The sequence below is a fragment of the Homo sapiens genome, chromosome 9 (genome assembly GCF_000001405.40).
Source record: "Homo sapiens chromosome 9, GRCh38.p14 Primary Assembly".
NCBI classification, from domain to species: domain Eukaryota; kingdom Metazoa; phylum Chordata; class Mammalia; order Primates; family Hominidae; genus Homo; species Homo sapiens.
This window is the reverse complement of record NC_000009.12, coordinates 33,628,053-33,644,656: the sequence shown is the minus strand read 5'-3', so window position 1 is coordinate 33,644,656 and position 16,604 is coordinate 33,628,053. Positions and strand designations below refer to the sequence as shown.

General features: G+C 36.9%; 3 pseudogenes, besides 9 other annotated features; all 3 read right to left on the bottom strand.

The window, feature by feature from the left end:
• Positions 6,110-6,118: a recombination feature (RSS nonamer).
• Positions 6,119-6,141: a recombination feature (RSS spacer).
• Positions 6,142-6,148: a recombination feature (RSS heptamer).
• TRBV23OR9-2 (T cell receptor beta variable 23/OR9-2 (pseudogene)) lies at positions 6,149-6,620 on the bottom strand (annotated as a pseudogene). Its single transcript is given in 2 exon segments — positions 6,149-6,446; positions 6,572-6,620. Coding segments are annotated over 2 exon segments (347 nt in total).
• Positions 10,316-10,324: a recombination feature (RSS nonamer).
• Positions 10,325-10,347: a recombination feature (RSS spacer).
• Positions 10,348-10,354: a recombination feature (RSS heptamer).
• TRBV22OR9-2 (T cell receptor beta variable 22/OR9-2 (pseudogene)) lies at positions 10,355-10,804 on the bottom strand (annotated as a pseudogene). Its single transcript is given in 2 exon segments — positions 10,355-10,623; positions 10,756-10,804. Coding segments are annotated over 2 exon segments (318 nt in total).
• Positions 15,031-15,038: a recombination feature (RSS nonamer).
• Positions 15,039-15,061: a recombination feature (RSS spacer).
• Positions 15,062-15,068: a recombination feature (RSS heptamer).
• Positions 15,069-15,514, bottom strand: TRBV21OR9-2 (T cell receptor beta variable 21/OR9-2 (pseudogene); annotated as a pseudogene). Its single transcript is given in 2 exon segments — positions 15,069-15,366; positions 15,466-15,514. Coding segments are annotated over 2 exon segments (347 nt in total).

The window sequence follows — 16,604 nt, the reverse complement described above, 5'->3', positions numbered from 1 at the left end:
CAGGCCCCAGTGTGTGTTGTTCCCCTCCCTGTGTCCATGTGTTCTCATTGTTTAGGTCCCACTTATAAGTGAGAACGTGCAACGTTTGGTTTTCTGTTCCTGGGTTAGTTTGCTGAGGATAATGGCTCCCAGTTTCATCCATGTCCCTGCAAAAGACATGATCTCATTCCTTTTTATGGCTGCATAGTATTCCATGGTGTATATATACCACATTTTCTTTATCCAGTCTATCGTTGATGGGCATTTGGGTTGATTCTGTGTCTTTGCTATTATGAATAGTGCTGCAATTAACACATGCATGCATGTTTCTTTGTAATAGAATGATTTATAATGCTTTGGGTATATACCCAGTAATGGGATTCCTGGGTCAAATAGTATTTCTCATTCTAGATCTTTGAGGAAGCACCACATTGTCTTCCACAATGGTTGAACTAATTTAGGTTCTAACCAACAGTGGAGAAGCATTCCTATTTCTCCACAACCTTGCCAGCATTTTCATAATGGCTTTTCTGACTGGTATGAGATGGTATCTCATTGTGGTTTTGACTTGCATTTCTCTAATGATCAGTGGTGTTGAGTTTTTTTTTTTTTTGGTATGTTTGTTGGCCGCATGAATGTCTTCTTTTGAGAAGTGTCTTTTCACGTCCTTTGCCCACATTTTAATGGGGTTGTTTGTTTTTTTTTCTTGTAAATTTGTTTGGATGTCTTGTAGATTCTGGATATTGTCGGATGGGTAGACTACAAAATTTTCTCCCACTCTGTGGGTTTCCTGTTCACTATGATGATAATTTCTTTTGCTGTGTAGGAGCTCTTTAGAACCCATTTGTCAGTTTTTGCTTTTGTAGTAATTGTTTTTGACGATTTCATCATGAAATCTATGCCTGTGCCTATATCCTGAATGATATTGCCTAGATTTTATTCTAGGCTTTTTATTGTTTTGGCTTTTACATGTAAGTCCTTAATACATCTTGATTTAGTTTTTGTATAAGGTGTGAGGAAGAAGTCCAGTTTCAATTTTCTGCAAATGGTTAGCCAGTTCTCCCTGCACCTTTTATTAAATAGGGAATCATTTCCCCATTGCTTTTCTTGTCACATTTTTCGAAGATCAGATGGTGTAGATGTGTGATCCATTTCTGAGTTCTCTGCTCTGTTCCATTGGTCTATGTGTCTGTTTTTGTACCCGTACTATGCTGTTTTGGTTATTGTAGCCTTATAGTATAGTTTGAAGTCCGGTAGCATGATGCCTCCAGCTTTGTTCTTTTTGCTTATGATTGTCTTGGCTATTTGAGCTCTCTTTTGGTTCTATATGAATTTTAAAGTAGTTTTTCCTAATTCTGTGAAGAACGTCAATGGTAGTTTAATGGGAATAGCATTGACTCTATAAATTATTATGTGCCGTTTGGCCGTTTTCATGATATTGATTCTTCCTATCCATGAGGATGAAATATTTTTCCATTTGTTTGGGTCCTCTCTGGTTTCCTTGAGCAGTCAGTGGTTTGTAGTTATTCTTGAAGAAGTCCTTCACTTTCCTTGTTAGCTGTATTTCTAGGTATTTTATTCTCTTTGTAGCAATTACAAATGGGAGTTCATTCATGATTTTGCTGTCTGCTTGCCTGTTGTTGATGTATAGAAATGTTTGTGACTTCTGCACTTTGATTTTGTATCCTGAGACTTTGCTGAAGTTGCTTATCAGCTTAAGAAGCTTTTGAGCTGAGACAGTGGGGTTTTCTAGATATAGGATTTTGTCATCTACAAACAAAGACAACCTGACTATCTCCCTTCTTATTCGAATACCATTTATTTCTTTCTCTTGCCTGATTGTGCTGGCCAGAACTTCCAATACTATGTTGAATAGGAGTGATGAGAGAGAGCATGCTTGTCTTGTGCTCGTTTTCAAGGGGAATGCTTCTAACTTTTGCCCATTCAGTATGATATTGGCTGTGGGTTTGTCATAAATAGCTCTTATTATTTTGAGGTATGTTCCTCAATACCTAGTTTATTGAGAGTTTTTAACATGATGATGAATTTTATTTAAGGCCTTCTCTGCATCTATTGAGAAAATCATGTGGTTTTTGTCTTTAGATCTGTTAATGTGATGACTTATGTTTATTGATTTGCATATGTTGAACCAGCCTTGCATCCCAGGATAAGCTTTTTGATGTGCTGCTGGATTCAGTTTGTCAGTATTTTGTTGAGACGTATTTGGATTTAATCTGTTCATATATTGTGAAAAGTTTTCTTTCATTTGCAGCCGTGAAAGATACTGTTCTGTAATGCATTTGACAGATTTTGACATTAGGGTTCTGCTGGGTTTATAAAAGTGTTGTGAAGTGTTTCTTCCTCTTCTATTTTCTGAAAAAGTTTATGTAAGAAGGATAGTCTTTTTTCCTTAATTTTTTTTATAGAATTCATGAAGAAATAATTCAGGTCTAGAGTTTCTTTGAGAGAAGATTTTTGATAAAAAATTTAACTTCCTTCATTTGAAGTTCTTTACATTTCTTATTTCATTTTGAATCATTTTGGTAAATGGTGTTATTCAAATAATTTCATTTCATCTAAGTTGAAGAATGTATTGCATATACTTATAATATTCTGTCACTATTTTAATGTCTTTTGTGTCTATAGACATATGCTTTCCTTCATCATTGATATTGTAATTTGTGTCTTTCCCCATTTTGTCTTGATTGTTATGGGTTAATCAATTTCATCAGTTGATTAAATCATGACCATATTTTCCTCCAAATTCTTGAACATATTTCTATAATAGCTGCTTAAAATTTCTCATCTGAAATTTCCAACATTTGTGTTATTTCAGGGTTGGTTTTTATTGTTTATTTTTTTTCCCCATGTGTAACATTTCCTAGTTCTTCCTATGTCTAATATTTTTTTCATTTCAAGATCAAAATTGTAGATGCTACACTGTTGACACTCTAGAGATATATCTCTCTCTACAGACATATATATCTACAGATTATATATATATGTATATATTTATATATATATTTGCCTTTATTTAGAGAGTGCTGAGATATTTTTCTTCAAAAGGCAGCAAACTTAACTGGCAGATCAGTTAGATCCTTTTGAGACTTGCTGAGCTTTGTTAGGGCAGTTCTGGGGTGGTTTACTCTACGACTTTGGTAGTCCTTCTCTTGAGATGTGACCCCTATGTGGTGCCAGCTGCATTCCCAGGGGTTTCAGCAAGGCCTCTTAGCTCTGCCCGGTCAGGATTCCTATCTCCCATGCCCGTATGACTGTCAGAATCTCCATTCCTCTCACAGCTACCCAGCAACTGCTCTCTGCCAGGTCTTATGGAGGCTTTTCCTATGCATTTGCTGCTAAGTTTTTGACCAAAGAGTTAAGGAGACTTCATACAATATTTGGAGGTCTTATTCTGCATAGCTTCCTTCTCTGCAGTAGCTTATCCCTATCACTATCAGCCATGTCCACAGCTCTGAATTCAATCTCTGCCTCCCTATGCTGGAGAGACCACTGCCCCCTCCTTGGGCTTCATATCCTGGAGCTGCGGCCCAGAAATCATACCAAGACAGAGTCTTAGGACAATAGTGAAATTTCCCTTCTAGGTTTCCTCTTTCTCAGTGATGGCAACCCCATACTGCCTGTTGTCTGATGTCTGAAAATAGTTGTCTTATAATTTTTGTCAAGTTTTATAGTGGCTTAAGGCAATAGGACAAGTACAGTAACAACTATCTCTTTTGATTTAAAGCCAAATCCCAAAAATAAGCATTTTAAAGGTTTTTGTTCCATATTGTCAAACTGACACCATTATAAGTAGTTTAAAAGAGTAACACTTTGACTAGACTCTTAATCAAATTGGACAACAAAATTCATTTGTAAGTGTTCTCAAGCACATTTTTACTAATATCTCATTCCATATTCATATGAATTTTCTGTATTCATATTTTCTCATTCATTATTAAATTGTTTGTTGGATTTTTTTAGATTGTTATCTTTATGGTAAACCCTGATGGTTTTCAGGATATCATTTAAAATTTGTTTTCCTAAATTTATTTTTTCCCAGACTTCCTCAGGAATTTGTTTTAATTTATCCAATGATAAATCACTCCCAAAGAGAATATAATGTTCTAATGTTTTTCATGAAAGTAATCTATATTTTGTCATCCTTATACACATTACTTGAAATACATTTTTATGGTTCTTTTTACTCTTCTCCCTTTCCCCAGAAATCAAAATTCAATGTAGTGTAGCTGAAAGTTTCTCAGTGCCTATATGTCTCAGTGAATGGGAGTTGCTTTGCAAGCATTTGCGGAATCAAAATGGATCAGCTGTCATATCAAGAGCTCAAGGAGATTGGTGTTTGCAGTGGATGGAATTTGGCCCTAAAAGAGATAATGTGTGGGCAAGTATTAAGTCTTCCAAAAAGATGTGTGAAGTTTTTCTGTCCTTTGCTATAATCAGACAGCATAATCTACTTAGAGCAATGAAAATTAATTTGAATCAGATTTACCCCAGATTGTAAAAAAGCACAGCTAAATGAAGTGAAGCATTTTTTTCAGCAGTTCTGGATGGAAAGGGATGTCGATGGGTGACAGTAGTTTGGGGACAGCCATGGCTGGTAACTTTTCTATGCTGCTTAAAGACATGAGTAATAATGGAAGAGACAGCATGTTGAGCACTCAGCAGAGTGGAAGTGAAAGATAGAAGTCTCATTCACATAATGGAGATAACACGCATGCACCTACTAAGGTAAGAGACCACCTGGCTCCTCCCACATCTACTAATTCTTTGAAGTCTGGGACAGGGGTGGTGCCATATTGGGTGGTGGTATTTCCAGTGCCTAAAATTTCAAAAAGGAGACTAATATCTTGTATATCTTAGGACTTCCTACAAATTGTTGAGGAAAATATAGAACTCTCAATAGAGAATTTTGCCTGAGGATATGGATAGGCCATTTTGAGAACAGAAATCCAGGACCACTATCACATGAAGAAGTGCTCAAATTCATTAGTAGTTAGAAAAATGCAAGGGAAAGAAAAGGAGGGAGAGAACATTATTCAGCTTTCTAGATTGTTGCCACCTATTATTATAGTAGTATAAAGTAATCTCTCAGTTCCTTTAAATTATTGGTTTTATTTAGTTTTAAAAGAATTGTCACCTGTTTCTTTATGGTAAACACTGATGATATTCTGGTGTTGGGTGAGCAGGGCTGAGGGGATGGAGAGAGAGGGAGATTGGAACCTCTTTACATCGCTATACTGATAACAATCTAGATCACTGGATAAGGATTAAAGGAGGTATTAGGATGTAGGAAAACACCCTATTCACTTTTATGTGGGATTGCAGATGTATACGGTGATCCTGAAGAACCTGTGGTGGCATTTAGATAGATAAAATATGCATAGAATTACATGTCTCAGCAATCACAACTTGTTCTTGGTATATAATCCTATAAAGCAATCATACAAGTCTATGAAGGTATTTGTACAATAATTTTCAATTCTGGCCGGAAACCAGAGAAAATCTGGGTATGTATTTCTGAAGAAATGGGTATGAGTACTCTCTATCATACAGAACCAACAGACCGAATGTACATACTGAAAAACAGAGCATTTCCCTTGCTTGAGCTGAGTGGAAAAGTAACGTTTATGTGATTTTAAATACATACATACATGCCTACTGCTGAGTGCTCTATGAGAAGGTTCATGGCTGGATCATGACGGATCTGTTTTTTTCTCCTGGGATTTTGAACTCAGGCTTAGAAAGAGCTGGGGTGGTATTTGTCACTGTAGGGAAATTATGGCAACTGAATTTGTAATCTTTAGTGACCATCTCATTCTCACCACGAGGCCTGGAGAAAAAGGGATGGTGTACAGGGAGAGAAAAGCATGCAGCTGCAAAACTGAATAAAAATCAGAGCTGGAGAGATAGTCATTCTAGAGCCTGGCCCTAGTGGTGCCTTTTCAGAACTGTCTGTCCTTTTCAGAACTGTCTGTCCATCACCTCTTGACTTCTGCTAAACACCCTTTATCCTTGTGTTAAATTCCACTGTGGCTTAAGCTGGCTCCAGTTATTTTCTGTTACTCCCTTCCAACCTAATACATCACCTGCTTCCTGAGCTGGGTCTGTGGCAAGTTTGTGTGCTAACAGGAACTGACATTTCAGTGCTGTGGACGGACTGGTGGCACAGAGATACAGTGCGGTGTCTCCCGGTTCCGAGGACAGGATTGCCAGGCTGCAGGGTGGGTTCTTGGGGCATTGAGATGAGAATCGCTTCTTGTGCATCTCCATTTCTTGAAGAACTTGTTCATTCTGAAAGGAAATCAAAAACATAAACTCTTTATTCTGATTCTGCTGATACCAACAAACAAAAGTATGTCCGTTTTTGGGGGTACAATACATCTTTGTTTTCCTTCCTTTTCCTTTGACCAAATATCCTGGAGTCTGTGTGACTTTGGCATGAAAACAGCCTGTAAGAGAAAGAAACAGATGCTGTAGACAGAGTCCAGGAAAGACCTTAACAACAACAGCAAAGCTTGGATCTGGGGGTTGGCCAGCCCAGGACAAGGGTTTTTATTCTGTGCTCAGAGCTCACCTGCTGCCAGGAGACAAAGAGCTACCCAGCCGAGAAGCCTGGTGCCCGTGGTCGCATTGACGTCGCAAAGGGATGAGGCTTTTTCATCCCCGTCTGCACCTTCTTGTGACGTGATTGCTCCACAGATTCATAATCATCTTGTTACTGCTTCATGTTTCTGAGCAAAAACACTTCATGGTATCGGGAAAAAAAGCTTTTATTCCTAACTCAGTAAATATAACTAAGTTATTTTGTATTCATTTAAAATATTGTATGTCTATTTTTGCTAATATAAGCAAAGCACTGATATTTTAGAAAGTTAGAAAATAAAATAACAAAATAAAAATATACCACTGCCAGAAAGCAATTATCACTGTTAACACATTAGTGAGAGTCTTTCTAGATCCTTCTCTCCCCATATATAAATGTGTAGATATATAGACACATTATTTTTTATTATAAACAATATTCTTGAAATTCTGTTTGATAAGCTTTTTTTTTCAGTTAATGATCATCATCCTTTCTCATCAATGCAGTTTCATCTTATCTGCTATTTAGTTTTTATGCAGAGTTTTACAGTTGTTTCAAAAATGTCCTTTGCCATTAATTTGAGCATCAGTTTCTAACTCACGACTAGACATTTCTTCTGGCTATTAATTATCTAATTATCTTTTAGTATAATATAGATCTCTATTGTAATTGCTATTTTTATGATTCTGAAACTAGCCACTGCTTTGAAAAATACTTCACCTTTTAGCTCTTTTTGGTGTATTTTAGCTTGTTCATTTACTAGTGTTTCTTTTAGATAACCTCCCTTTTTTGCTTTTCTTTCTGTAACTATTTATTTTAAATAGTGCATTTTTGGTGATTTATTTATTTTTTTACTTTTTTCTTCCTCCATCTCATCCTCATTTCAGGTAAGTAATGTTAACAGTTTAATGTATATCTTTCCATAGATTTCTCCTTACTTATTTAATTGTTCAGTGAGGTTGTTTCCTCCACATTACAAGATTGTCTTTGAATATATAGACAATAACTTGATAACATACCAACAAAATGACCACTTAAAAAAACAACTTGGCACAGGAAATAAAATATTACCAGAATATTTGAAAGCACTCATTTCTTTTCCCAGATCCCATGCCTCTGTTCTCTAACTCTACTGAGGTGTTTGCTTTTATATTTATTTGCTTCTCTTTCATATTTTAACACATAGGTACATAAGCAAACAAAAGTGTTTAGTTTTACATGCTTCCAAACTTTATACAAATGAGACAATACTGTACCTTTCTTCTGTAATGTAATTTTTCTTCAAATTTGTGAAATTCAGTCATGTTTGTGTGTTTAGTTTTAGTTCATGAATTTTTACTGCTGTGTAATTTCTTTATAATAATAAACCATAATTTATTTACTCTTCTGTTAAGTTACATTTGGATATTGTATGCATTTTTGCTATTACAGATGTATTACAGTGAATATCCTTGTCCTGATTTTCACAGAAGTGTTTCTCTAGAAAAGCCTTTCTCAAGGGTGGAATTGATGGACAGTGGGTACACACATCTTGAACTTTACTAGGTAATGCCAAATTGTTTTCCAACTTAGATCTACCAATATACACTCTAGCCAGTGATTCAGAGAATTCTTGTTGACACTTTTGCCTTGCCAACACTTGATAGATTACTATTTTTACCATCGTAGAGATTCTTGTGGGTATATATTTCGTTGGACTCAATTTCCATTTCCCTGATTATTAAATTTAGCAACATTTACATGTTTAATGACCAGTGAGATTTTGCTGGGAGCTTATGGTTTTCACTCACTTTTTCTATTGACAGTTACCTTTTTCTCATTGATCTGGAGAAAAATTAGTTTCTAGGTTTTTAAAAAATAAATTATATATACTAGCTTTTCTTGAATATATAAATATAGATAGGGATATTAATTTGGTATAAATATATAGATATTTAATGATATGTCACTATACAGTCAATCTTGTCACTCTTATATAATTAACTTTGATAAATTCAATATCAGTTTTTATATAGCCATTTTTATCAATCGGTTCCCTACTGATTGAGGGAATAAGAAATCTTTCCCTGCTTTAAGGCCATGAAGATGTCCTTTTATATTATACAGTATTCTAGAAGCCTTGTGATTTTATTACAATTATGCTTTTAATATAGCTGGGATTGATTTTGGCTATGTATTGAGATGTGTCCAATTGCACTTGTTTTCCTTTATATAGATACCCAATTTTCCCATCACCATTTGTTGAAAAATGTATTCTTTGATTATTGCAGTACCATTGCTGTGTGTTTATGCACATGTATTTTTTTCCTTGGATCTATTTATATATCAATGCCCCTATATTATACCACTTTTATTATTGTGGTTTTATAATAATTCTCTTATAATAATTCTTCATGTCTGTTAGATTTAGTCCTCTCACTTGGAGCTTCTACTTCAGTGCCTCAGCTATTCTTTTATCCTTTGCAGCTATTCTTTTATCCTATCCTTTATCCACTGGTAGGCAGACTCATGCAACTTCATTCATGGAGGTTTTTCATTTCCTACTTTGGTGATTTCTTGGAATCTTAGCTAAGTCTTATGTCTTTCCAAATGGAACCTCAATGGAAAAGGTTCTGTTCACCTCAGTAAACTAACATATAACATTTTACCGACTATTCCCTGTTACCCAAGAAGTGTTTGTGGCTTCTTCTGCCTGGGTTACCTTTATTTTTTTCCCTAATTTTCTTAGAAATATCAGACAAAACAAAACTCTCACTCTCTCTCTTTCCCTCTTTTGTTTTTACATCCCATGTTCTAATCACTCCTCACTCTCAGGCTTCTTTATTCTCCATAAGGAACCAGAATACTACAGTCTTAATTCCCATGCATTTTATCTCTGTGATCTAAATCTATATTTGGGTGGAATTTTCTGTCCCCACAGTTCAATTATTGACATGCTGTAATCTGCAGAATCTCAACCTCTAGTCCAGCTTTATGGCATCTCAATTTCACATCTTGTCTATGCAGTTGCGTACTTCTAGTTTTTATCTGATTGTTCCATAGACAGTTGAACCCTATTATCCCAAATGGGAACTGCTACTGCTAACGTGATTTCATATTGTTTGAAATTGTGCCCTTTGTAAATGATCAAAGTTATATGAGGAAAATTGAAAAATTGTATCATTTGCTTGTTTGCTGATAACAAGCTTCAGCTCTCTCTTTTGAGCAACAGCCTACAAAGGACTTTCATACTTATTATATTCATGGAACCAAAAACTCAACTTTTTCAAAAACTCCTTTCTACTTCCTCAGATATATTCCATTTCTTTTGATTCATATACATTGATCATCATCTTTCTCTTTGTAAACTGTTCCCCAAAGTGTCAAACTCTTTAATATGCCTTTGCAAAAGTTGTTCTCTTTGCCTGGAATGCTCTACTCAGAACCAGGTCTATCTGGTGAGGTTCTAATGGGACTTCCTCTTTGCTTTTTCTCATTCAATCAAACAGAATTGTGCATGTCCTCCCTGAAGCTCCCAAATGACTTCTGATTGTAGTATTATATATGATATTTTCCGTTCTATTATAATTACTTTCTTGCTAGACTCTTAGCTCCTTGGATAAAGGATCTATTTTCTTTTCAGTTTTGTATCCTTTGTGTTTGCAAAAGTAACAGGACATAGGAAAATCTCAAGAAAATATTAAAAATGAAAAAATTAAACTAGAGGATGTGGTGGGGACTACAGGGCTAGGACACATTTCCGCACAGAGAGACAATGGCTGTGCTTCCACTGTGGTGCACTCCCAGGACAGAAGTACAGAGCTGTTTGGCTGGTGTGGGCCAGCTTCACCATGAGAAGAAACAGCCCCTTCTCCTCTCGGGAGACACCGTAGCCTTCAGTTAGGTCTCCTCTCTGAATATCCTTTTCAACCCTTGAGTAATAGATCAGTCTCAGATTTTGCTTTGGGTCCTGCCAGTACCAGTACCAGTACATGTCATTGTGTCTCAAATTGTTTCTACTCCAGGGTCACATCCCATCCAGCCCCAGTGAGCTGGAATGGCGTCTGATAGATGTCAGCATCCAAGGGTCCAAGAGACAAAGGCTAGAGATCATGCCCAGAAGGGAGGTGCTGGCCGGGGAGGGGCCTGGCAAGCCCAGGATAGGAATTGACCAACTGGATGTGTGCTGAGCTCACCTGCTCCCAGGAGACACAGGGTCACATAGCAGAGGACACAGCTGCCCATGGCAGCGATGAAGTCTCTCTGAAGTTACAGACACAGGCTCTGAGAGAGAGAGAGGCTGAGATCTAGCCCCTCCCCAGGGCTTAATATAAAGAATTTGTCATTGCTACATGATGACTGATTGTCACAGCTGATTTTGCAGATGGTGAGACTAAGAATTAGAGAGATCAAGTCACATGCACCTCCTCTTCTGCTTATAGAAGCTTTTTATATCCCTTCTAAATGGACAAGTGCCTGCCTGCATGGTCAGAAGAGCCAATCCCTCATTTCCTGGTCAGAGTCATACACAGAGTGCCATGCACCTGTGCTCAACTCAACACAAGAAGGGGTTTGGAAGTTTAGTTTTTTGTGGTTGTTTTTTTTTAAAGAACCAATTCTCGACACTCTCTGTATTTACTATAAATAATTAATACAGTAGAGATGGGGTAGGCGCTACTCCTGTAATTTTAGGAATAGCAAAGCGTCTGAAGTGCCCCTCCCCTTGTGACAATGGATTAGAGCAGGGACTTGGGACACGGCATGGGCTTTAGTCCTGTCTGTGCCATTTAGCATCTACGTAACCTTGTAAAAGTTACAGAGCCTCTCTTCAATCTGACTTTACCTGTAAAATTGAGATAATAAGTAACTACCCCCAAACCTGTGATGAACATTACATAAATAAAGCATTTAGAACAGTTCTTAGTACATAAGAAACACTATATTTGTGTTTGCTATTATTACGTTCTGGACCTGATATTCTAATTCACAGGAAGTTAGGAAGTCAATACTATATCAAGTGAAATCAGACATTTATGGTCATAGGGTTGTACCAGCTGACTAAAGTATCATTTTCCAACACGAGTAGAAATTTGTATGAGTGTAAATTCACTGTATAACATAGGTTCTTCCCAATAGATTTAGTAAATAAAAATAGGATCCTAGATGATTTCTTTATTATTATTATTATTATACTTTAAGTTTTAGGGTACATGTGCACAACGTGCAGGTTTGTTACATATGTATACATGTGCCATGCTGGTGTGCTGCACCCATTCACTCGTCATTTAGCATTAGGTATATCTCCTAATACTATCCCTCCCCCCTCCCCCCACCCCACAACAGTCCCCAGTGTGTGATGTTCCCCTTCCTGTGTCCATGTGTTCTCATTGTTCAATTCCGATGATTTCTTAATGAATGCTTTTGTTTTGGTAGACAAATGTTGTTCTGAGGTTATCTGCCATTAAAAGATGCTTTCATGATGAAACTTTTGGTTGCAAGCTGGTGGGGTTTAGAAGCTGTTGCTATTTCCTCCTAGAAGAAAAACAGAAGGCAGAGAGAGAAAATAAAAGAGCAGGAGAGCGAGAGTGAGAGAGAGAGAGAGAGAGAAAGAGAGAGAATGCAAAGTAATTATTTAAAGTGAGAAGCATTAAGAGGTGCAGCAGTGTGGGTAAAACTCTGAGAAAGAATGCTTCCAACATGGTTGCTTCCAATGCGTGAGTCTAGGTTTCAGGTTGTCAATCATGCCTGCGTTGAGGATCTAATTCTGTGTCCAGGAGTTCTTCACATTGTACCAGGGACCTCTTTGTCAGACTGGTAAATCCTAGGGACCCCATCTCAGGATAACATTTTAAATGCACAAACTAGAATATAGAAAAACAATTATTTTGAAATGCAGACATCAAAATATTTTTTTAAATTTTCATATATTAATATAGGAACACTTTTAAATTTCATTAAATAAAATATAACCTGATGAATCTGAAAACTGTCACGATTTCAACATAGTGATGAAGGTATATTTACTGCATGTAACATGATATGAAAATATCTGACTTTTATATCAACTGTCACTTATGCAACATGTAAGCAAATGTTTGTGATTTCTGCAATTGATTTTGTCACTGGTATTACTAAAACTACTCTGGTTTACTCACTATATCTTAGAGGGAAAGGTATATTTCAGTTGGAGATTAGTTAAAATAAAGATCTATTTTCCCATTCAAATTTATGGATTCCCTGAATTTTATCTGTGCACTACTTGGAGGTCCATGGATCCCAGGTTAAAAACTTCTGCCTTAGAAGAGAATATGCATTATGCTGGAATCCACAGAGAGGAAATGTTTTTTAGGAAGTTCATATAGCCTCGGAAGTACTTAGCCTATATGTGTAGTTTGCAGATTTGTCAAGGTGTCAAGGGAAAAAAATTAAACTACTTCTTTAGACTGTTTACAGACTTCAATTATAACAAGTTTTATATTATACTTACCATGATTGTATTCTAGTCCTGGAAACATGGTACAAATTCTATCATCTATCTTTCTACATACTGTCTGCATTATCAATTATATTCATCATTATCCACGTCATCATCATGATTATCATGTATATTTTATTCCTAAGGAGCATTATTGGAATAGAAAACTACAGGGACGTAGTATGATAGTATATACTCTCTTTCATGAAAGAGTGAGGCTTTACGCTAAGAAACCATGTAATCAGAAATAGTATTCCTAAAATGGAATCACAAAATTATCTCCACACTACGTTTTAAAATAATCTCTACAGTACTATGTGTTACTAATTCTGAGACACCTCAGATCCCTATATTGGTAATATATACACTATTCTTAATGATAGAATTTAGACAGTTCTACTGTATTTAAGATCCTCGTTGTAGTCAGTGTTAAATAGTGTCCTATTTCCTAGACAAAGGAGTAATAAAGTTTGTCATTAAACACTCTTCCTGTATTGCAACAGATTCAACAGTATGTTCCCATTTCGTGCCTCCAATATGGTAATTCTCCATCTGAATACTTGTATCCATTTTTAAATTAGTGAATTGTATTTTTGGAGCAATTTTAAGTCCGCAGCAAAGTTGAGCAGAAACTACAGAATCCCAAGTATTCCCTGTTCTCACATGAACGACCTTCCCTACTACTGACACTCTGTATTGTAGAACTGTAGACCTGATGAAGGTGGCCTATGGGAGAAACAAGAATGGAATTCAGAGGCTTGACCAGCAGGGCTTCAACACCCAACCCCTCATTCCAAATCATGTGCTTAACTGCAAAATATTCCCTTTAATTAATCTTAACTCATAGGTATGTTTTCATTAACAAAATATACCTCTTCTTAAAGTACACCTTGCAGAAATTTCACAGCTTTTCCAATACATGTGAATGCGTATAATTTACCTGGAAACAGAGCAGCACTAACACTTGATTGGTTCACATGGCGAATGAGGCTGACGCTGTGAGCTCACATATGGTTGCTCCAAACCATATGCAATTTCTGGAGAAGGTATTTTTATGTAATATGCTGAGGTAGAGATGTCAATTGAAAAATGTAAAGATGAAATTGAATTAGGCTGAGTCAGGCTGATGTGAAATCTTGGCAGAGAATATTTTTATTGAGTACATTTATAATTTATTAAAATAAAATTTAGGAAAATATGTATGAGATCTGTATAATAAAAACTACAAAGCAATGCTGAGAGAAATTAACGAGACCTCAATAAAGAGATGTGGGGGACTTTTTGAGATGATGAAAATGTTTTGTATCTTGATTGTCATCATGGTTACATGGGTATAAAAATGTGTTAAAATTTGTTGAAGTATACACTTACAATGAGGGTGGGTTTTGTTGCATCGGTTGCATATGTTTATTGCCTACGTATTCTACATGTATCTTATGTCTCAATAAAGGTGCTTTAAAAATTTTTGTGATTGTAACATTCCAGAGGGTGGGAATTGCTAATGGTTCCTACTAAACTTCTATGGCAGGAAGAGCTGTGAGAAGCAGTCAAAAAGCCCTTTAGAGTCTGTCTCTAGTTCAAGGAAATGTGCTGGGTCAGATGATCAGGGTCTACCTGAAAGACACAGTTGATTTGCTTATTCTTATTTCTGAACTCACAGCTTTACCAAGTGAAAAGCACAGAATCCCATTCTTTAAATAAAGATTGTTAGAAATCCCTAAAGCTCATATGAAAAGAGAGACAGAAGGTAACTTAGTATATCTTAACTAATATCCTGAACACGGAGGAATCCGAGCTTTTTATGCCTTCTGCTTCCTTCCCTGGGGTTTTGTCCCCATCAGCTGTTTTAAGTACCCCTCCCCCTTTGTTTTTTGCTCACTTAGAGCTGTTATTTACAAGTTTTTCCTTCTGATTTATTGTCTTTCAAGTTGGCTTTCTGTTATTATAGTGTGTACCAACCTGACATACACTTATTTCCTGAGCTGGGTCCATAATGAGTTTGTGTTCTAAGAAGGGCTAACATTCGGCACTGTGGCTTTGCTGTTGGCACAGAAATACCGTGCTGTGTCTCCTGACTCCGTGGACTGGATCTCCAAGGTACAGGGTGAGTTTTGGGGGCATTGGGCTGAAAATCGCTCATTGATTATTTCTGCTTTCTGAATAATTTCTTCATTCTGAAAGTAAATAAAAAACTTGAGCTCTTCTTCCAGCGTCTTATGATACCAGTAAACATAACTATGTCTTTTTATAGGAACACAGTCCATCTTTGCTTTCTGTTCATTTGCTTTGACCAGAAATCTAGGTCTCTGGGTGACCTTGGTGTCCATGGAGGCTGTGGAGGAAGGAAAAAAAGCCCAGGAGGGAGCCTGATACTGCAGCCACAGGAGAGAGTCTTGGAACTGGAATTCACCAGTTCAGAACAGGGACTTACCTGCTCCCCAGAAAGAAAGGGCCACACAGCAGAGAAGTCTGAGGCACCTGGTTGGCTCAGACAGAAATCGTGGTGGTAGCTTTTTCTGTAAGGCTTCCTCACCCGCTCCGCCCGCTCCCCCCGCCCCCGTCAGCAACCTGCTTGTGATGTGATCACTTCCCATAGCCTTTGTAGATGCTCTGTACATGGGACAGAATCATTTCAATTTCAGAGAATGTAGGAGGGCAGGCTTTGTTTTAGCTGTTAAAAATAGTGTAAGTTTCAGCCTGCTTTTAGTTTTTTTTTTCTGTGACTCACTGTTTTGCTATTTTTTTAAGTAAAATCACTCATACATTTATTAAAAAAAATTATTATACTTTAAGTTCTGGGGTACATGTGCAGAATGTGCAGTTTTGTTACATTAGGTATACACATGCCATGGTGGTTTGCTGCACCCATCAACCCATCATCTACATTAGGTATTTCTCCTAATGCTATCCCTCCCCTAGCCCTCCATCCCCCAACAGGCCCCGTGTATGATGTTGCCCTCCCTGTATCCATGTGTTCTCATTGTTCAACTCCCACTTATGAGTGAGAACATGCAGTGTTTGGTTTTCTGTTCTTGTGTTAGTTTGCTGAGAATGATGGTTTCCAGCTTCATCCATGTCCCTGCAAAGGACATGAACTCATTCTTTTTAATGGCTGCATAGTATTCCATGGTGTATATGTGCCACATTTTCTTTATCCAGTGTATCACTGATGGGCATTTGGGTTGGTTCCAAGTCTTTGCTATTGTGAACAGTGCTGCAGTAAACATACATGTGCATGTGTCTTTATAGTAGAATGATTTATAATCCTTTGGGTATATACCCAGTAATGGGATTGCTGGGTCAAATGGTATTTCTGGTTCTAGATCCTTGAGGAATCGCCACACTGTCTTCCACATGGTTGAACTAATTTACACTCTGTTTACTTTTTTAACTTGTCAATTTGCTTCTTCCCCTCCTCCCTTCCATCTCAGGTAAGGAATCATACAACTCGGTCTTTACAGATAGTAGCTTTTGACACACTTATAAAATCACATAGCAGCAGCTTTACATTAAGTAATTTTTTCTTATTTATTTATTTATTTATTTTTGAGACGGATCTTGCTCTGTCTC